The sequence below is a fragment of the Homo sapiens genome, chromosome 5, assembly GCF_000001405.40.
Source record: "Homo sapiens chromosome 5, GRCh38.p14 Primary Assembly".
NCBI lineage: Eukaryota > Metazoa > Chordata > Mammalia > Primates > Hominidae > Homo > Homo sapiens.
Genome location: NC_000005.10, coordinates 116,802,969 through 116,823,606, shown reverse-complemented (window position 1 = coordinate 116,823,606; position 20,638 = coordinate 116,802,969). Strand labels below are relative to the sequence as shown.

The 20,638-nt window shown below is 38.9% G+C and overlaps 1 long non-coding RNA gene across 1 annotated transcript in view, besides 4 other annotated features; it reads right to left on the bottom strand.

Annotated features, from left to right (window-relative positions):
• Window positions 399–1,042: an enhancer, noted in NCBI's record as "NANOG-H3K27ac hESC enhancer chr5:116158261-116158904 (GRCh37/hg19 assembly coordinates)". NCBI's record gives its function as "activates a minimal SCP1, AML or CMV promoter by ChIP-STARR-seq in naive H9 embryonic stem cells {active_cell/tissue: H9 hESC(naive)}" and the evidence as "EXISTENCE:reporter gene assay evidence [ECO:0000049][PMID:30033119]".
• Window positions 1,043–1,686: an enhancer, noted in NCBI's record as "OCT4-NANOG-H3K27ac hESC enhancer chr5:116157617-116158260 (GRCh37/hg19 assembly coordinates)". NCBI's record gives its function as "activates a minimal SCP1, AML or CMV promoter by ChIP-STARR-seq in naive and primed H9 embryonic stem cells {active_cell/tissue: H9 hESC(naive and primed)}" and the evidence as "EXISTENCE:reporter gene assay evidence [ECO:0000049][PMID:30033119]".
• Window positions 1,687–2,328: an enhancer, noted in NCBI's record as "OCT4-NANOG-H3K27ac hESC enhancer chr5:116156975-116157616 (GRCh37/hg19 assembly coordinates)". NCBI's record gives its function as "activates a minimal SCP1, AML or CMV promoter by ChIP-STARR-seq in primed H9 embryonic stem cells {active_cell/tissue: H9 hESC(primed)}" and the evidence as "EXISTENCE:reporter gene assay evidence [ECO:0000049][PMID:30033119]".
• Window positions 8,112–8,728: an enhancer, noted in NCBI's record as "NANOG-H3K27ac hESC enhancer chr5:116150575-116151191 (GRCh37/hg19 assembly coordinates)". NCBI's record gives its function as "activates a minimal SCP1, AML or CMV promoter by ChIP-STARR-seq in naive H9 embryonic stem cells {active_cell/tissue: H9 hESC(naive)}" and the evidence as "EXISTENCE:reporter gene assay evidence [ECO:0000049][PMID:30033119]".
• Window positions 9,224–20,638, bottom strand: part of LOC105379133 (uncharacterized) — a 49,950-nt gene continuing 38,535 nt past the window's right edge. Inside the window, exons 2-4 of the long non-coding RNA XR_948689.3 lie at window positions 16,460–16,716; window positions 15,403–15,510; window positions 9,224–14,113 (exon numbers count right to left, since the gene is read on the bottom strand). This is a non-coding gene — a long non-coding RNA (uncharacterized LOC105379133). The remainder of the gene's footprint in view (window positions 14,114–15,402; window positions 15,511–16,459; window positions 16,717–20,638) is intronic.

The window sequence follows — 20,638 nt, the reverse complement described above, 5'->3', positions numbered from 1 at the left end:
TATTGTAATGAATGATTATTTTTCCTGCCACTGATATGATATAAAAGCTGTATTTCATCCTATTTCCCTAAGTGTGAATATTTTCAGTGTTTGAATTTCTAATTTCTTGTTTATTGAAGACTCCATTATTACTTTTTAAAGTTCCCAGTAACATCTACCAAAAAAAAAAAAAAACTTTAAGATTAATGATTGATGAAATGCTTCATGTTTAAGGTTCTAAATTACCAAAAGTCCAAAGAAATGTTGCATTTTTTTTACTTTCTTTCACTCTTCAACAAACATATTCTATCTCCAAAATACCTTACATTTTAATGTTATTGATGTGAAACTTTTTCTACTAACATGATCTGCTTATCAGTGACTATGTCTGACCTGTATAAGGAAATCTATTTCTAGTTTGTCAATTTAGGTATTTTGGTCATAGCACCTATATATCACATATCCTACTTCCAACAGATGGAATTGCCACATGTTTAATTCAACTGAGTGTTTGAAATGTCACAAATACAATTACTCTAATCCTACTAAATCAAACGCACTATCCACATTCCATTGATTGCCTTTGTAACTAGTCATTATTATGGCCTAAAATGGTCAATTGAGAAAATAATCAATTCAAACATACCATGAAGACCATTGCCAGAACAGGTATTCTGAAACCAAGGTTAGCCTAGCAAAATATAGTATAGTTGGAAATATCAAAGAGTTGCAGCCACTAAGTCAAGGTTTTTATGTTAGTCTGTTCTAGCATTGCTATAAAGAAATACCAGGCCAGATGCGGTCGCTCACGCCTGTAATCCCAACTGTTTGGGAGGCCGAGGCAGGTGAATCATCTGAGGTCAGGAGTTCAAGACGAGCCTGGCTAACACGGCAAAACCTCCATGTCTACTAAAAATAGCAAATCAGCCAGGCGCAGTGGCAGGCACCTGTAATCCCAGCTTTCACTCGCGTCCGTCCGTGTGAAGAGACCATCAAACAGGCTTTGAGTGAGCAATGAGGCTCTTTATTTCACCTGGGTGCAGGCGGGCTGAGTCCGAAAAGGGAGTCAGTGAAGGGAGATAGGGGTGGGGCTGTTTTATCTGATTTGGGTAGGTAAAGGAAAATTACAGTCAAAGGGGGTTGTTCTCTGGCGGGCAGGCGTGGGGGTCACAAGGTGCTCAGGGGGGGAGCTTTTTGAGCCAGGCTGAGCAAGGAGAAGGAATTTCACAAGGTAATGTCATCAGTTAAGGCAGGAACAGGCCATTTTCACTTCTTTTGTGGTGTAATGTCATCAGTTAAGGCAGGAACAGGCCATCTGGATGTATACATGTGGGTCACAGGGGATATGATGGCTTATGTTGGGCTCAGAGGCCTGACACCAGCTACTTGGGAGGCTGAGGCAGGAGAATCGCTTAAACGCGGGAGGTGGAGGTTGTGGTGAGCTGAGATAGCGCCATTGCACTTCAGCCTGGGCAAAAGAGTGAGACTCCATCTCAAAAAAAAAAAAAAAAAGAAAGAAAGAAAGAAAATGTAGGGGTGGGTTGCCCCTCCACACCTGTGGGTGTTTCTCGTAAGGTGGAACGAGAGACTTAGGAAAGAAAAAGGCACAGAGACAAAGTATAGAGAAAGAAATAAGGGGACCCGGGGAACAAGCGTTCAGCATATGGAGGATCCCGCCAGCCTCTGAGTTCCCTTAGTATTTATTCATCATTTGTGGGTGTTTCTCAAAGAGGGGGATGTGTCAGGGTCACAAGACAATTGTGGGGAGAGGGTCAGCAGACAAACACGTGAACAAAGGTCTTTGCATCATAGACAATGTAAAGGATTAAGTGCTGTGCTTTTAGATATGCATACACATAAACATCTCAATGCTTTACAAAGCAGTATTGCTGCCCGCAGTTCCCACCTCCAGCCCTAAGGCGGTTTTTCCCTATCTCAGTAGATGGAGCATACAATCGGGTTTTATACCGAGACATTCCATTGCCCAGGGACGGGCAGGAGACAGATGCCTTCCTCTTGTCTCAACTGCAAGAGGCATTCCTTCCTCTTTTACTAATCCTCCTCAGCACAGACCCTTTACGGGTGTCGGGCTGGGGGACGGTCAGGTCTTTCCCTTCCCACGAGGCCATATTTCAGACTATCACATGGGGAGAAGCCTTGGACAATACCTGGCTTTCCTAGGCAGAGGTCCCTGCGGCCTTCCGCAGTTTTTGTGTCCCTGGGTACTTGAGATTAGGGAGTGGTGATGACTCTTAAGGAGCATGCTGCCTTCAAGCATCTGTTTAACAAAGCACATCTTGCACCGCCCTTAATCCATTTAACTCTGAGTTGACACAGCACATGTTTCAGAGAGCACGGGGTTGGGGGTAAGGTCACAGAATCTCAAGGCAGAAGAATTTTTCTTAGTACATAACAAAATGGAGTCTCCTATGTCTACTTCTTTCTACACAGACACAGTAACAATCTGATCTCTCTTGCTTTTCCCCACAGAAAAGAAAAGGAAGAAAGAAATACCAGAGACTGAGTAATTTACTTTTTTAAAAAAGAGGTTTAATTAGCTCACGGCTCTGCAAACAATACAGAAAACATGATGCTGGAATCTGCTTGGCTTCTGGGGAAGGGTAGGTAGGGTGGTGGGATGGTAGTGTGCTAGGAGAAGCCTTAGTGAAGGCTAATAGGAATGGTCTTTGCTTTTCCCAAATGACTGATCCAGGGGTTTTGCCATTCTCAGGTGGCGTCATGTTAAGGGACAAAAATCAAATATTATTTTCTTCCACTGTCATCTTCCTCTTGGGGCATTATTTTTCCTGGCCTCACTTTAAATCACTTGTTCATTAGATTGAGCCATTTAGAGATGTTTTAAAAATTTTTAGCCATTTTATATCAAAACATGCCAAAATATCAATACAGGGCATGTCTGGATCTAGCATTTGGTAACACATCATATATTTTTAACATTTTTATTACTTAGTAAGAGGTAAAGATTTGGTTTTGCTCATTAGTCATCTTTTAAAAAATGTTCCATATAGTTATATTGATTTTTTTTATGAGAAATAACTCTTTCAACGTTCCTTAATGGGGAATATTTTAGGAAATTCCATGCCATAGCATCATATAAATTGTTTGTAAAATTGCACCATTTCAAGGTTTGCTCTAAAAGGAAGAAAAACGCAGTAGTAAAGGCTTTGATAAAGATTAAATAACTGAATTCATTAAAATCAGCTTTTTACCTCATTATGAAGTTTGCCTTTTTCCAAAATACGGTGAGATCTATTATATACCTAATAAATGTTCAGAGCTGAGCTAAAGGCCCTGAAGTTAACGGTTCAGAAAAGCCTGCAAAGATCCTTAATATGTATCTCCCTTCCATCTACCTTCTTCTAATCATTCACTGCTCAAAAACTATTTCATTAATAATTACTATGAGCCAGGCCTAAGAGTTATAAGTACATCTTCCAAAAACATTTGGATGGTGATTCTCAAAATCATATATCTGAGCTCTATCTCTGCCTTAATTTCTATCAAGAAAACAAAAACAAACAAACAAACAAAAAGCAGGCTGAAAAGAGAAGGCCTGATTTAGCCATATTTATTCACACATTCTTTCACAGCTATGTTGTTGTTGTTGTTTGGTTTGGTTTTTTTTGAGACAGGATCTCACTCTGTCACCAAAACTGGAGTGCAGTGACAGAAACATATAGCTCATTATAACCCCGAACTCCTGGGTTCAAGCAATCCTCCCACTCCAGTCCTAGTACCTGAGACTACAGGCAAGTGCCACTACGTCCAAATAGTTTATTTTATTTTTTGTAGAGATGGGGGTCTCACTATGTTGCCCAGGCTGGTCTCAAACTCCTGGCCTCAAGAGATCCTCCTGCCTCAGCCTTCCAAAGATCTGGGATTACAGGTGTGAGCCACTGCACCCGGCTCACAATCATGATTTTGATTGACTTCTTATATTCCATATTCTTTTTTTTTTTTTTTTTTGAGACGGAGTCTCGCTCTGTCGCCCAGGCTGGAGTGCAGTGGCGCGATATTGACTCACTGCAAGCTCTGCCTCCTGGGTTCACCCCATTCTCCTGCCTCAGCCTCCCAAGTAGCTGGGACTACAGGCGCCCACCACCACGCTAACTTTTTGTATTTTTAGCAGAGACGGTGTTTCACCATGTTAGCCACGATGGTCTTGATCGCCTGACCTCATGATCTGCCCGCCTCGGCCTCCCAAAGTGCTGGTATTACAGGCATGAGCCACCATGCCCGGCCATATTCCATATTCTTAAATGCTGGTAACCTTGTTAAGTATAATGTATTTTTCTCCTTCAAATATTGGTTTATATTTTGAGTGTTGCATGCATAGTGTTTGCTTTTATCTTAAGCAATTTTTCTTTTGCCGAAGAAGTAGATCAGCTCCACTATGGTAGAAAATAGATAAATAGCTAGATAGTTGATCATTAGAGATAGAGATAGAAAAATATAACATGTTTTTATTTATGAGAAGCTCCAGTCTAATAATGTATGAAATCGAAACACATGAATTCCAACATAAGTAACATAGACTCCCATTAGTTCTAAATAAATTGGTCTTCTGAAAGTATTAAAGTTTCCATATTACTTAACTCTTCCAATAATAATATGTTAATCAAATAAATTAAATTAGCAATATTTTGGTAACTGATTTCCATAAACCATAAAAACACTTCTGGGTTTTAAAAAAAACAAACAAAAACTACAACAACAAAAAAACCTCATAGGGAGAAGCAAGCATCTCCTTTATATTTTTAGTTGTGCTAAACATCCTAGAACAGTGACAATGTCTCTGCCTTTGCCCAATATGGATTTACTAACAGGCAAAAATCCTGTATGGATTTACTCTGAAGACTATAAGACTCTGGGTCCCATGCAAGTCTGCTCTTCCAAGTCTGGTTCAAATCGTCTGCTCTTACCATATTCTGCTTTTTTTTTTTTTTTTTTTTTTTAGTGTATGTGTAAATGCCATTTATTTATTTATTTGTTTGTTTGTTTATTGGAAAGCATTTTACTCTGTTGCCCAGGTTAGAGTTCAGTGGCACGAAGATTACTCACTGCAGCCTCAACCTCTTGGGGTCAAGCCATCCTTCCTGTGCAGTCTCCCAAGTAATTGGGACCACAGGCACGCGCCACCACGCCTGGCTAATTTTTGTATTTTTTGTAGAGATGGGGGTCTCATCATGTTGCCCAGGCTGGTCTCAAACTCCTGGGCTCAAGCAATCTTCCCACTTTGGCCTCCCAAAGTGCTGAGATTACAGATATGAGCCACTACAATAGGACTATTCTGTTCTTTTCATAGATATTTTGGGATTAATGTAACCTTCAGTTTTTATCATTTGTCACTGACTGTAGGTCATTTACATTTAAAATGTGTCTACATTGCCTCTAACAGGCCCTGACTACCACATTTTTGATGCTGAATTGTAGAAAATGGCTTAAACAATAACTCAGTATGTCTGATCTTAACATAATCAGACGAGATCGGGCGCGTTCAGGGTGGTATGGCCGTAGACCATAACCAGAACTTTGTTGGATCACAGGTGGTTATATTTGCCTGCAGCTCAATTGGTCTGAATACAATGTAATATTGTATATTCATAAGAATGCAAGTAGTGGTAACTGCATTTTCAGTGAAGTTTAATAAATGTTTTATAGTTTACATAGTACATAATACATGTTATTTGCTGCAAGTAAATAGCTAATAAGGTTTTATCTAACAGGTGTTTTAGAAAAAGATAACCCAAAACATAATTCCTCTCTCATAATAAAAGGATGAACATGCTCTTGTGTGTGTGTATGGTTTATCGAACTGAACTTCTGTAAGTAAAATGTTAGACCTAGAAAATGTGCATTGTGGTGTATTCCCAGTTTTTGCATGTTTGGTTGCAAGTGTTTGAACTTCCAACTTATGTGAAATCAAAAGTAAACTGAGATTCAGGCGAATTGTAATTTTATCTCTGAGATTTCCTGATAAGGTAGTACGTGGAAGATAATCGAGTAATGATTGAAAGACTCAGGATGGGTGGAAAACAAGGGCGGGGATGGCAAAGCCATGGTATACCAATCATCATTAGACCTTCTCTTTCCTTGTAATCAGAACCACCACTCAAAGTCCTTTATAAAATGCCTGCAGGTAGTCTCTACCAACTGACCAAATGTGGCACTCAAAATGAAACCTATTTGCCACCCTGCCTAATTGCATTTGATGACATACTTATTCCACAAAAGACTGGAGGATCAGAAGAGGAAAGGTCGTGTTATCAAGAGACATAAACAGGCCAGGTGCTGTGGCTCATGCCTGTAATTCCAACAATTTAGTAGGCCAAGGTGGGCAGATGGCTTGAGCTCAGGAATTCGAGACTAGCCTGGGCAACATGGCAAAACCCCGTCTACAAAATATACAAAAGTTGGTGAGGTGTAGTGGCGCACACCTGTAGTCCCAGCTACTCAGGAGGCTGAGATGCCAGGAATGATTGCTCCCAGGAGTTCGAGGCTGCAGTGAGCTACTATTGCACCACTGCCCTCCAGCCCAGAGCAAGACCCTGTCTAAAAAAGAAAAAAAAAAAAAAAACAGAAAAAAAGAAAAGTGAACAATGTTGTGTCTTCCATCCCACTTTTGGGGACTTACATTTTTGGAGGCCAGCATTTTATTTATTTATTTATTTTGAGATGGAGTTTTGCTCTTGTTGCCCTGGCTGAAGTGCAATGGCATGATCTCGGCTCAACGCAACCTCTGCCTCCCAAGTTCAAGCGATTCTCTTGCCTCAGCCTCCCAAGTAGCTGGGATTACAGGCATGAGCCACCATGTCCGGCTAATTTTGTATTTTTAGTAGAGACGGGGTTTCTCCATGTTGGTCAGGCTGGTCTTGAACTCCCAACCTCAGGTGATCCGCCCACCTCTGCCTCCCAAAGTGCTGGGATTACAGGCATGAGCCACTGCGCCCTGCAAGGCTGGCATTTTAAAGGCCTAGAGAAGTCCTGCAATAAGGAAGCTTGTTTTCCTTAGTTAACCCAGCATTTCTCATTTATTTTAAAAAATAAAAGAAAATCCTTAAAACGTACTTTGCACAACACTTAGAATCTCCTATCCTACTCATTTGAGGCCAGTCTGTACACACAGCCCCTCTGTGGGGTTGTTTTAGAATGAGAATACCACGGTATGCTCTTTTCCTCCCACATTCAACAAGCAGTTCCCTAGAACTCCCAAAGTCCTCCTGAGATTTTCGCATACAAAAGCAAATGTCTAGAAGCTGAGCAGCAGCTGGCGGGCACTACACAGCAGCAGCCATACAGCCTCAGCTGATTGACTTCCTGCCCTGTGAGTACAGAGGGGCTCTTTGTGCTGAGTTGTTACATACATGGCATATATTTTACTTACTCTGAATATTTAAGTGGCTCTGTTTGTTTTTGAATTGTCAATCAAATATGTTAAAATTATATTCAAATATGCCAAAGCCATAATAATCTAAATGAAATCAGATAAATTGCAAGTTGAATAAGTGAAAATTAAAAAATAATTAAATCATACTTTTCTGCCTGTTAAAGATCTCAAAGTTCTAATCCTCTCTTTGTACAGGTAAGACAATGAAGGACCAAAGAAATGAAATAACTGTCCAAAGAAATTGATTTCATTGTTTTTAAGGACCAAGAATAATGCAAACTTGATGACGACAAATTATTAGCACATAGAAAGAGTTTTCAATACATTAAATATTAGATTAAAGGGGCATTGACTTTGGCAAAAATCTTAAAATGATTGCTTATATGGGTTAAACAACTCTCCTTAAAATATATTTATTCTAATTACATCTTATCACTGCATTCTCTTTATCTCTCTCCCTAAGAGAGATACATACATATATAGGTATGTAAAATCTAGGTACATATATACCTATAAAGACAGGCCTTTGGATGTTCAGCACCTTAATTTCTTTTCATATAACCTATCCTATTCGTCTCTCATGGAATACATATGTTCACCCAGATGATGGGTATGCTTTATGATAATAGAATTATAGAATGATTAGATAGATAGAGTTGTCAATTATAAATAATAATGCTCAGGAATTATTTAAACCTTTCTTAAATTTCAGCCGTTACATGGGTTCTTGCTTTTATAATTTTCACACAGTTATAAAATCCCCAGTATTGCCTGTGAAAATATCAAGGCTGTGACCTCATTGCAACAGTAACACAGAAGCTAAAACAGCAGGTTGCAAAGCAAACCTTATCTTTAGTTTTTACACATTTCATTCAAACCTATGGTGGTTCTGGGTTGGAGAGTGAAAAGGCATCAGAAGGTCAGGTTTTCAAGGATCAAACTTTCTATTGTTCTTTGAATCAGAGATTGTATGTGAGCGTAGAGCTTTGCATAAGAATTAGTCCTCTTCCTTGTACCAAGTCAGCTATTTTCAGCTCAGCCTAGCAATTTTCGATTTCTTGGTTTGTAACTATGGCAATAAGATTAAATGGCATTCAGTAAAATTCATTTTACAAATTAGCTTGGGAGGGCGTCCATGACTGTGATGAAGGAGCAATACGGAAATACTAGGAATCGAGAGGGAAATTAAATCGGGTTTTGTAATATTCTTCAAAATAATCCTCAAAATCATCTACTGCCAGATGGCAGTTTGTGAGTGATGTATAGTGACTTGAAATAAAAACAAACAGATAATGGCTCGATAAATTCCTTGGCTCTGCATAAGCCACCACACCTCTCCACTTGCCTCCCGCCATCATACAGTGTCCTTTGTCTGGGAGTGCCTGAGTGTCTGTAGCCTTGCCAGAGCCTTTGATCTGGGAGTTTTTATACTAAATAACAGTCAAATCAATTTCAAACCCCTTCATTACAGTACACAGCTCATTATGTTCTAGAGAAATGTTTAGCTCCAAGCTCCAGGCCACATTATAATGAGTACAGGAGTACACACTAGTGTATACACACTCTACAGTACCGCTCCATATTTCCAGGCGATGGGGAGATCACCACAGGTCTAAGTAAAAAGCAAGCATTCGTTTGCGGCCTTTAAAGGTGGTTTCCTGAAGTTTTAAACCATTTGCCATAAAACATAGTTTTAATCTTGTTACGCTGTAAATGTTTTTCTTTTTCATCTACAGCCTTTTTCAAAAGAAAAATGCATATGCAGACATAGGAAAGAAGGAGGTAGATAAATATTTTTTTCAAATTCTTAATGAGTGAATGTGTGTGTGTGTGTGTGTGTGTGTGTGTGTGTAGACAACTTCTTTTAAATAACAGATATAAAAGAATTACTTTTGGGGCGGATTTCCATTATTCCCGTTGTTGGTTTAGGCAGAAACTCAAGAGCCTCATTAAGGCAATAGTTTTATTTATACTTGATTTGCCCTTCTTACTTTGGGAAGGCAGGAAAATGAACAGAACCTCTCATCATCCCATTCTGCTCTCTAATCTTTTTGCTCTTTCAATGTCCAAGTGACCATCCATGAAATTTTTGACATTACACTTGAAATAAATGTGACACAATGTTGGCTGCCAGTGTTTTTTTCTCTCTGATTTAATTATAAATTCTTGCTAAAAGCCAGTAACAGGGAAATTACTTCACTGGACACGTAAGACATTATCAAAATTACTTCTGTTTCTCTGTTATTAGAAATATAAGCTAGTGGAGTAGAAATCCTTTTTGCTGTCACAATTGATTATCATAAACTAATTGTTTATAACTCTAGATGGAAACAAGTGCACACTGGCATATAAATAATCATAACTTGTTCTTCTTGCCATCAAGGCATAGCCTGTTTGGTATCTGAGAAAACACTAGTGTAGCAGAGGAATTGCAAAGCTTTTTTTTTTTTTTAATGAAAGCATTGTTACAAAGATAAAACAGATTTTTTTATGTCACATAAGAGAGTGATAACAATTTTCATGTTGACCTTGAAACTCTACTTGAGAACAGCATTCAGGAGTATTTTTAGTTAGCCATGAATATCTTAGAGGTATCTCTGGGAAGAAAATACTCCTTATGTAAAAGAAGCATTTGAACCATCAGTTATAATGCAGTATGACAGTCAAGGTCTGGCACAAGGGCCTAGATTACTAAAAGCAGTGCACTATCTGCGTAATCCAGGGTCGGCAAATGGAGATGAAACAGGCCAAACAAAAATCTGAAATCAAGACTTTTCCTTCAGTTCATGTCATTAGAAGCCTTGGTTTCAAGTGGCAGAGTTGATATTGTCTGGAGAACAGAGAAAGTTCACCACTCATTAAGGATGCTGCTCCAAATTGGTCTATGCAGATTAGCTGGACCCATGACTTATTCTCAAATGTTGAAATTCAATACAAAATGCCAACTAACATCCACAGTAGGAAAGAATTAGAAGGTTCATGAAACATCCTTTTCATTAAGTAAATAAAGAAAGAAAGAAATTCAGAATTATGGACAAATTTTGTCTTAGAAACAGATTTATCTTATAAAGTTATCTAGTATGTTTATAAGATAAGGATTTGCCTATAGAATAACAATTGAGTCACTAAAATTCATTTCATACCTGACATTTTCAGGTAGGCATAAATGAAGAATACATATACGGCAATTTCAAAGACTAAATGTTACTTCGTTTAAATTGGCTATTTTATGCCTCAGCCTAAATGTTTTTAGGAATGAAGAATTGAATTGCTTTGAATCAGTATAAAATAAAAGAGGTATTGAAATGCACATGTGGACTTTTTTTTTAAACAGGCATTAATGGTCTATAATCAGAACAAATCATTAAATAACAAAGCAGTAAGGAAGGTGAATTTTTAAAAGAAAAGAAAGAAAAATTAGTACTGTAGAACACATATACACAGAAAGCTAGATAAGTAAAGATTCCTCTGTAATTACTGAATATTATTATGAATCAAATAAGAAATTAGTATTCCTGCTTCATTAGCTGGTAGCATCTGCTCATTAGACAACAGAAATGTTTGTAGTTTGGAAAGAAAAAGTAGGCTTTCTAAATAAGTATCAAAATGACCCACCTGTTACATTTCTAACCTTTTACATAGCTTTAGAATTCTATAAGCAGGAGAAAATTGCAAATAAGTCTTACCCTGGTACATTGCTGGTGAGAATGTAAAATGGTACAACCACTTTGGAAAACAGCTTGGGGCTTCCTAAAAATATTTAACATAGTGTTAAACACACAACCTTGCAATCCCACTATTAGGTCAATACCAAAGAGAAATGAAAATATATGTCCACACAAAAGTTTATACACGAATATTCACAACATCATTATTCATAAGTGTCAAAAAGTGGGAACAACCCAAATGTCAATCAAAAGATGAAAGGGTACATAAAATGTGTTATAGTCACACAATGGAATAGTATTTGGCAATACAAAGAAATGAAGTGCTGCTACAGCCTGGATGAACCTTGAAAACATTATTCTGTGTGAAAGAAACCAGTCATAAAAGATCACATTTAAGCTGGAAACCATCATTCTTAGCAAACTATCTAAAGGACAAAAAACCAAACACCGCATGTTCTCACTCATAGGTGGGAACTGAACAATGAGAACACATGGACACAGGAAGGGGAACATCACACACCGGGGCCTGTTGTGCGGTGGGGGGAGGGGGGAGGGATAGCATTAGGAGATATACCTAATGTTAAATGACGAGTTAATGGGTGCAGCACACCAACATGGCACATGTATACATATGTAACTAACCTGCACGTGTGCACATGTACCTTAAAACTTAAAGTATAATAAAAAAAATAAAGAAATAAAAAACATGAGAAAAACAAAACAAACAAACAAATCACATTATTGCATGCTTCTGTATGAAAGATCCAATAGACAAATCTCTAGAGACAGAAGGTAGATTCGTGGCTGCTTAGGGCTGGTGGTGGAGTGGGGAGAATGGGGAGTGTCAGCAAATGGGTACTGGGCTTCCTTTTGGATTGATGAAAATGTTATAAAATTGATTATGGTAATGGTTGAACAAATCTATAAATATACTAAAAACCACTGGGTCCATTGAGTCCCATACTTTAAACAGATGAATTTTATGGTATGTAAATTATATCTCATTAAAGTTGTTTTTTTAAAAAAGGCATATTTCAACCAGCTCAGGAATAGGATGCTCAAGTTAGCCAGGAAGCTGGTGCTGAAAAGAAGCAAGAAGATTCAAATAAAAGCCTGATTTTCATCCCTGGTTGTTTTCCTCTCTTAACTATTTCTTTTGTTAGCAATAGAGCTGGTTAGCCTACATATTCTCTCTTTCTCTCTCTCTCTTTAAGTTGGAAAAAAATACTCAGACGAAAACCCATGGTTTACTGGGATAGGGAATATCAATAGCTGGTGAAAATGTGGGCTGTTCTTCATCTTTTAATTTGTGAATGTCCTGACTGTGTCGCACAAAGCCCACCTCTGATGGAAGGGGAAGGTCTACTTGTAACAGGAGCCTGTGGATAAGGTTTACTCTCCCTTCTGTTCTGAACAAGGAGAACAATGCACAAACTGAGTCATTACATAGCTGACAACAGAGCAGATCAGAAAGAGCCAATGTTTATCTGTGGCTGAGAAAACTCAACCATAGTTCTTTTTACCTAAGCAATTTTAAACCCCTTTTGACTTTTTTAATCAGTAAGAAAGGAAGCTCTCCTGTTAAATTGAGAGAGCAACATTCCTAGTATGACTGAATACCACATGGTCAGAATTTCCACCTGTCCTTGAAAAAAGATAGGCGTAATCTGCTCCTGGCTGCAGTGGGAAAGAAGTTTTTTTGTTGTACTGTGTTGTTGTTGTGTGTGTCTGTGTGTTTTTTGTTTTTTTTTTTTTTAATTCTTCCCTCATGGGACAAACCTCATCCATTCCATTCATAGAAAAGGTTTCCCAGGAAACTTCCTTTCAGAGCTAGGAGATGGATAGAGAGATGCAAACTGAGACCTTAGGGGAATGTTAATGAAGAGCATGAATGTCTCTGCCTTGTTGTGGGACTTGCGCATTGACAATGGCCAGGAATATCACTTAACAGGAGTGAAGACTGTTTCCTTGGAATTCCACAGTATGGGCGACTTGACTAGAAGAGCTGAACATTGCTTTATCATTTGGGCCAAGAAATGTCTGTTCTTACCTGTGAATATGGAGATTTCAGTCTATCTCTTCCCACTCTTTTTGCCTGAGAGTCATATGAATCTTGATTCTCTCTTTCCAACTAACCTACAGTAAAGGGAATTCCACCACTCCTCTTCTGTACTCACCCTGCCTACCCACTTCTAAGTGTTTTGATGCCTGGTTTAAAAAATTAAGGTCAGATATCAAATAGTCATTGTCATCTGGTTCATTAAGGATTAATTTCATTAACACACAGGTATTTTTACTTGCTGTGAAATTCTGATTATAATTGATATTTAGGGTTCTCTTTTTCCCTGAAGAAAAAGAAGACTTCTAAGATGTCTGAAAAATCTAGACAATATTTTTATCAATATTTTATAATACTGAATGATAATAATAATAATAATATTTTACATTTGGGTAGCCATTCACAAAGCACCCTCATATCCTTGTCTCATTGGAGACCACCAACAGTTATTATAGGTCCAAAGATGTAGTTGTTTTATATATAAAGAAGGAGTCTAGAGAAAGCAAAATGTTCATCTAAAGACCCAAAAGCAGTAACAGGAAAAGCCAAGACTGTAACCCATGTCTCTAAAACCAATCTGCCTCGTGCAGTGAATAAACATCAAACCTAATCCTCCCCTAAATGAAGCCTTGTGTCCGTCTCTCAAGGGTAAAATCAGCCCTGTGTTAGACAAAAACTACATCAACAATTTAGTAAATAAGATTTGTTCATTTGTAAAGTTGTCAAGAATAAGTGTTGGAATTAAGAAAGAATAAAAACAAGATGTTCACCAAGGGCTAGAGGGTCACCTGTAAAGAAGGCTCATTAGGCTGGTTTCTCTGTCCATGGTCAGACACGTGATCAAGGCGCACAGATAAAATATACGGCGTCTCCCATAAAGCCTCCATAATTCTGCAGCCAGAAGTAATGTCTCCTCCCATGAACTCTACATGTCCTTTCCTTATTTGACATTCTGCTGATCATTCCAAAGGAAAGTTGCACGTTATCTTGGAAAGAACACTGGATTTGGAGGAAGAGAAATAGAGTTTCAGCTCTGATTTTGGGCAAGTCACTTAACCTTGCTGAATTTCTGAAAGATAGATATAACAGGGTTGTTATAAGGCTTAAATTAGCTAATACTTTCAAAACAGTTGGCAAACAGTAAGTAATTAATAAATGTTAACTATTATTTGTATTAATCTAACATACTCATTTTATAAACAACAAACAGCCATGGACAAAAGAAAAGGCTTACACAAAGGCAAAATTATATAAATAATAATAATACCCAACTAGCAGGACTATTGTGAGGGTTAAGTGTACGTGACTTGTGCCTTACAAAATGAAAGTAATTTGTGTACACAGGCTAATATACCATTTGGATTGAATGACCTTGAAGGTAAGAGCAGTATCTCTTATTTTGTCCTTTGCCCAGAGCCTTGAAGAGAACTTTTACAGAGTCAGTGCTAAATAAGCATTAACTGAATTAATTCCACATACATCAGGACATCAGACATTTTATCCCAAGGTTATAGATGATCTAATTTATTAATTTTTTAAAATCAGTCCTTCTGCAGATTCAACTTGTATCTACTTTTTCATTATAATATCAACAAAACACCATTGATTCTTGATTTGGTAACCTGACTGCTCTGCCCTCTGGTGTAGAAAACCCTTGGACCAATTAGAGCACTTGAGCTGCTAAGAAAATTGTTTTTCTGCTGAGCGCGGTGGCTCATACTTGTAATCCCAGCATTTTGGGAGGCCAAGGCAGGCGGATCACCAGGTCAGAAGTTCAAGAGCAGCCTGGCCAACACCATGAAACCCTGTCTTTACTAAACGGAAAAAATTGGCATGGTGTTGGGTGCCTGTAATCCTAGCTACATGGGAGGCTGAGACAGGAGAACAGCTTGAACCCATGAGGCAGAGGTTGCAGTCAGCCAAGATCATGCCACTGTACTCTAGCCTGGGCAACAGAGCTAGACTCCATCTCAAAAAAAAAAGAAAGAAAGAAAGAAAGAAAATTGTTTTTCTACTATCAGTTGGGTCTAACCATCTAATAATCAAGCATTAGATGATCAAAATCAGAGCTGAAACTCTAGTTCTCTTCCTCCAAATCCAGTAGTATGAGTTTCTTTTTCCAGAAGTTCATTTCCATCAAGAGTAGGTGGCCAAAGCTAGGACAAGGTGAAACTCCTTAGCCATAAATACCATTCTGAATTACAGGTCTTCTATGCTTGCAACATATCAATTTCTTCCAAAATCCACGGCTCGCCTCCTTTATTTGTTTGCTAGCCCACACATTTTACCTGTTTTCCAGTTGACCTTGCTAGGAAAAGGGGATGTGCAGGCTCTAGTGGGTTCCTCAGAAGGTCTCCAGTACACATTTGCTCAGAAAATTCTTTGCTGGTGATAGTCTATTAGGGGAGAGACAAAAACAGAAAGGCTTGGGAAATGTAACAGGTGTTTTGCTTCTTGAGATGAGTTCTGACAGTAGCATCAAAAGCCATGGTCTAAAGGTGTGGGTGAGCTGATATTGCTCTTTCTTTCCTTTAAGCTGATATTGCTTGTTCCCTTTTGCATATTTGGATAAAGATGAAAATTTATCTTAAAACTCCTTTGAAAGTCATAATTTTGTCCAGGAGTAAAGTCAACTCCAGGATACCTATACTGAGTATTCTAGACATTTCAGACTCAATGTTCTTTGTGGTTGAGAACGCAATTTTAGATTTTTACTGCATCATAGTTTTTCATCATCGGAGCTGTCTCAGCATCTTGAATCAATGGTCTTTCACAATTTAAACAATGGATCCAACACCTTAGAAAGTTCAATTAGAATTTGGATACCTATGCTGGGCACGGTGGCTCATGCCTGTAATCCCAGCACTTTGGGAGGCCGAGGCGGGTGGATCACCTGAGGTCGGGAGTTCAAGACAGCCAACATAGAGAAACCCCGTCTCTACTAAAAATACAAAATTAGCCGGGGTGGTGGTATATGCCTGTAATCCCAGCTACTCAGGAGGCTGAGGCAGGAGAATTGCTTGAACCTGGGAGGCGGAGGTTGTGGTGAGCCGATATCGCGTCATTGCACTCCAGCCTGGGCAAAAAGAGTGAAATTCCGTCTCAAAAAAAAATAAAATAAATAATTTGGATACTTATGAATAAACTGGGAGCATGACTTTGAGTTACTGGAAGAAGTTAGAAACATTAATCCAATTTTCTGATTAGGAAAAAAAAAAGCACTATTTCCTAAGTTTCATACTCTAGTCTCTCTTAAAAATGATTCTAGGAGCACAATGCCAAATTATGGGCATCCAAGGACACTCTGGCTAGACAAAAAGGAAGAAAACTAGGTGAGCAATGAACCTTATTAGCATGTGTCCTCTCAGGCTGATGACTGTCATTAGGCTGCTGGAGAATGACATCATTTTCTCTAAGAGGCAGTCAGCTCGAAAATGTCAACTATCTCCATGAATTAATTCTTGCAGCTGCTTTATGTTGCCTTCTGCTCCTTGCCAAAAGAAATGGACGTATTTCATTTCTCGGATCTGTCAGACATGTTGCTGTTTTAAATACTGCATTTTAAGGCCAGTCCAATCTGAACATTCTTTGTTTTGGGAAGCCTGTTGAAAAAAACATTGACTTCAATAAAGTAAAAGTTCAAGGTGCAAAACTCTGTAATCCCTTTTTTGGCACAAATTGCTTTCATTTTGTAATGTCATTATAATGTCATTTTTTTTCCCAAAGACTTCTATAGTATGAAGTTGTAGGAACACTTATACTACCCTGGTGTTGCTATAAAATAGTGATAGAAGGAAGTAAAGATAGGAGTACAGAGAAGAGTGGTGGATTTGAGGGGACAGTTATAACTGCAAACAACACTTAGTCAAAAGTTCTTGCCTCTCAGTATAGTTCTTTTTCACTTCATCAGACACATAAGAAAAAAAAGGGTCATTTGTTAATTTATTCAATGATCATTATTGCATGTCTGTATTTGTGCACATTCTGTGCTGGGCACTAGGAAAGCAAAATGAATTAGATACTTACCACCTGTAAGAGAGCCCCAAGTTTAGTGGGGGAGAGAGACATGTCAAGGGAAATATTAAATTAGCTTGAAAATTCCACTGGGTGCGGTGGCTCATGCCTGTGATCCCAGCACTTTGGGAGGCATAGGTGGGCGGATCACAAGGTCAGGAGTTAGAGACCATCCTGCCTAAAACAGTGAAACCCCGTATCTACTAAAAATACAAGAAAAAATTAGCCGGGCGTGGTGGTGGGCACCTGTAGTCCCAGCTACTCGGGAGGCTGAGGCAGGAGAATGACGTGAACCTGGGAGGCGGAGCTTGCAGTGAGCCAAGATCACCACACTGCACTCCAGCCTGGGTGACAGAGCAAGACTCCATCTCAAAAAAAAAAAAAAAAAGAAAGAAAAAGAAAATTCCATGAGAGAAAGAGACTCAGATATTTCTGAGATGAATTTTTAAAAAAGATTATATGTGTTTACATACACACCCACACAATCCTGCATGTAGAAGTGAGTGAGAGAAGATGGAAAAGAAAGGCAGAAAGCCGTCTCAAAAAAAAAATAACTACAAGCTGGGCGCAATGGCTCATACTTGTAATCCCAGAACTTTGGAAGGCTGAGACAGGAGGACGGCTTGAGCCTAAGAGCTTGAGACTAGCCTCAGCAACATAGTGAGACGTCGTCTCTATTAAAAATTTAAAAATTAGCCGAGTGTGGTGGTGCACGCCTCTAGTCCCAGTTACTCAGGATGTTGAGGTGGGAGGATCTCTTGAGCCCAGGAGTTTGAGGCTGTAGTGAGCTATGATCACACCATTGCACTCCAGCCTGGGCAACAGAGCAAGACACTCTCTCAAATAAATAAGTAAGTAAATACATACGTATCAGGAATAACTTTCATAGGTGACTAAAGCACTGGCCGTGATATTAGAAGCACTAGAAGGAGCTCGGCAATTCCTTGAAATAGACTTCTTGTCTTCTGTCTAATGTCTAGAATACTTTAAACTGAAAACAAACACAGTACTTTAAGCCTACTGCTAGACTTGAAAACTGGGAGATGTAAACCATTGATCTAAATAAACACAAAGATGTGTAATGGACAGATACTACATTGTCTTTCTGACAGTAAGTTTGAGGGGAGGTGATTGTATTATAAAAGCATAATGCCTAAGTGATAGGAAATAAGCAAAACTGAGGGCTAGAAAAAGAATGTGCTTCCTTTCATGTTTTTATTTTAAATTGAGTTTTAATTTACATGCAGTGAAATGCACAGATCTTAAATGTTACAGTTTGATGTTTTCCCGAGTGCAAACACTCATATAGCACACACTGCTGTCAAGTCACAAAACATTTCCATCATCCCATAGAGCTTCCTCCAGCCCTTTCCAGTCAATCTCCATGGCCCCTCCTGGCCAAAGGCCATCACTGTACTACTGATATTTGTCACCACAGATTAGCATTGCCTATGTCCTTCAATTTTATATAAATACATATATTTCATAGGCATCTTGCTTCTGACATCTTTCATGCAACACAATATATCCATGTCTTCTGAAGACCAGTTGTTGGTTCCCTTTTTTTGTTGAGTAGTATTCCATTGTATGAATATACCATAGCCTGTTTATCCAGATTATGTTGATGGACATCTCGGTTATTTGCAGTTTTCAAACTTGCTATTATGAGCAAAGCTACTGTGAACATTCTTGTACAAGTCTTTTTGTAGATATATGTGTTCATTTCCATTGAGTAAATACCGAAAAGTGGAATTGCTGTGTTATAAGGTAAACATGGATTTAACTTTTTTAGGGGGAATTAATCATGAAAGTAGGAGAATTTTGAAATTCAAATTTGCAGGATGAAACAGAGAAGAAAATAATGGACATGCAGCCCATGGGAGGAGGATGAGTAGAAGGGGATAGAGAAGTGCCTGTAGAATTCAGAAAGGGGAATAGTTAATATGAATCATAAGGTGCAAAGAGGGTTTCTGCTTAACATATAGCTTCTGGGACATTTCCAAAGTCTGCAATATTGTTAGCAGAGTCTACAGAGTCTGAAATAATTACTGGAACTTCCAAAAGTGTTACTAAGCTTTTCAGAAAATGCCATTGTTTCTGGGAAGCCTAAGAACATACAACAATAAAATCCTACCTTTTGTCCAAGTGTCTGTTTCCTGCAGACCTGATTTGGTAGAAAAGGTGTCCAGCTGGACACTGGATGTTGGTCCAACCACTGTCATCAGACACCATTTCTATTGCATCTTGAGAACAGGATCTGAATTAGAACAGGTCTTTCCCTGGTTGGATCCAGGTTCAACCACTTTGATGGTATAAGCCAGCTCTCTGGCCGCCCTTTGCACACTTAGGTCTACACCTAAGAGCTTTGAGGTAAGGGATGTAGATAAGATGGATCAGCTTACTAGCTGAAAGTTCCATTCAAATACTGTCAGTTTTCCTTCTATTTTGCGAAAGCCACCTTTAAGTTTTTAAATTAAATTTTTTCAGTGGGTTAAGATTCATATATATTACCTTTAATCATCAAAAAGGAAAATGAGATCTGAGTACAGTGGGCACACCAGTAGTCCCAGTTACAGGGAAGGCTGAAACAAAAAGATCTCTTGATCCCAGAATTTTAAGGCTGTGCATATAATCACATTGGTGAATAGCCACTGCGCTCCAGCCTGCCCAATACAGCAAGACCCCAACTCTTAAAAAAAAAAAAAGGTGAAGAAATAAAAGGTTGTTGAATAATTCCATCTACTCTGTTTTTGCTAACCCAACATATGGTTCATAATTTAGAATTGGTAGCTGAAGCCGGGCGTGGTGGCTCACGCCTGTAATCCCAGCATTTTGGGAGGCCGAGGTGGGTGGATCACTTGAGGCCAGGAGTTCGAAACCAGCCTGGCCAACATGGTAAAACCCTGTCTCTACCAGAAATACAAAAATTAGCTGGGTGTGGTGGCGCACGCCAGTAGTCCCAGCTACTAGGAGAATGAAGCACAAGAATCACTTGAACCTGGGAGGCAGAGTTGAGCAGAGATCATGCCATTCCACTCCAGCCTGGGTAAAACTCTGTCACACAAAAAAATAATTTGTAATTGAGATTTCTAGCTCTATTTTCCTTGATTATATCAACTACTCTCCAAGAAAATAGATTTTCAGACCACAAATTCCCCAGACAAGAGCCCTAACTCTCAGGAAAGATATATAATATTCATAAAATTTAAATATAACACAATGGCCAGGTGCGGTGGCTCACGCCTGTAATCCCAGCACTTTGGGAGGTCGAGGTGGGCGGATCACCTGAGGTCAGGAGTTCGAGACCAGCCTGACCAACATAGAGAAACCCTGTCTCTACTAAAATACAAAATTAACCAGGCATGGTGGCGCATGCCTGTAATCCCAGCTACTTGGGAGGCTGAGGCAGGGGAATCTCTTGGACCCGGGAGGTGGAGTTTGCAGTGAGCCGAGATTGTGCCATTGCACTGCAGCCTGGGCAAGGAGAGTGAAACTCCATCTCAAAATAAA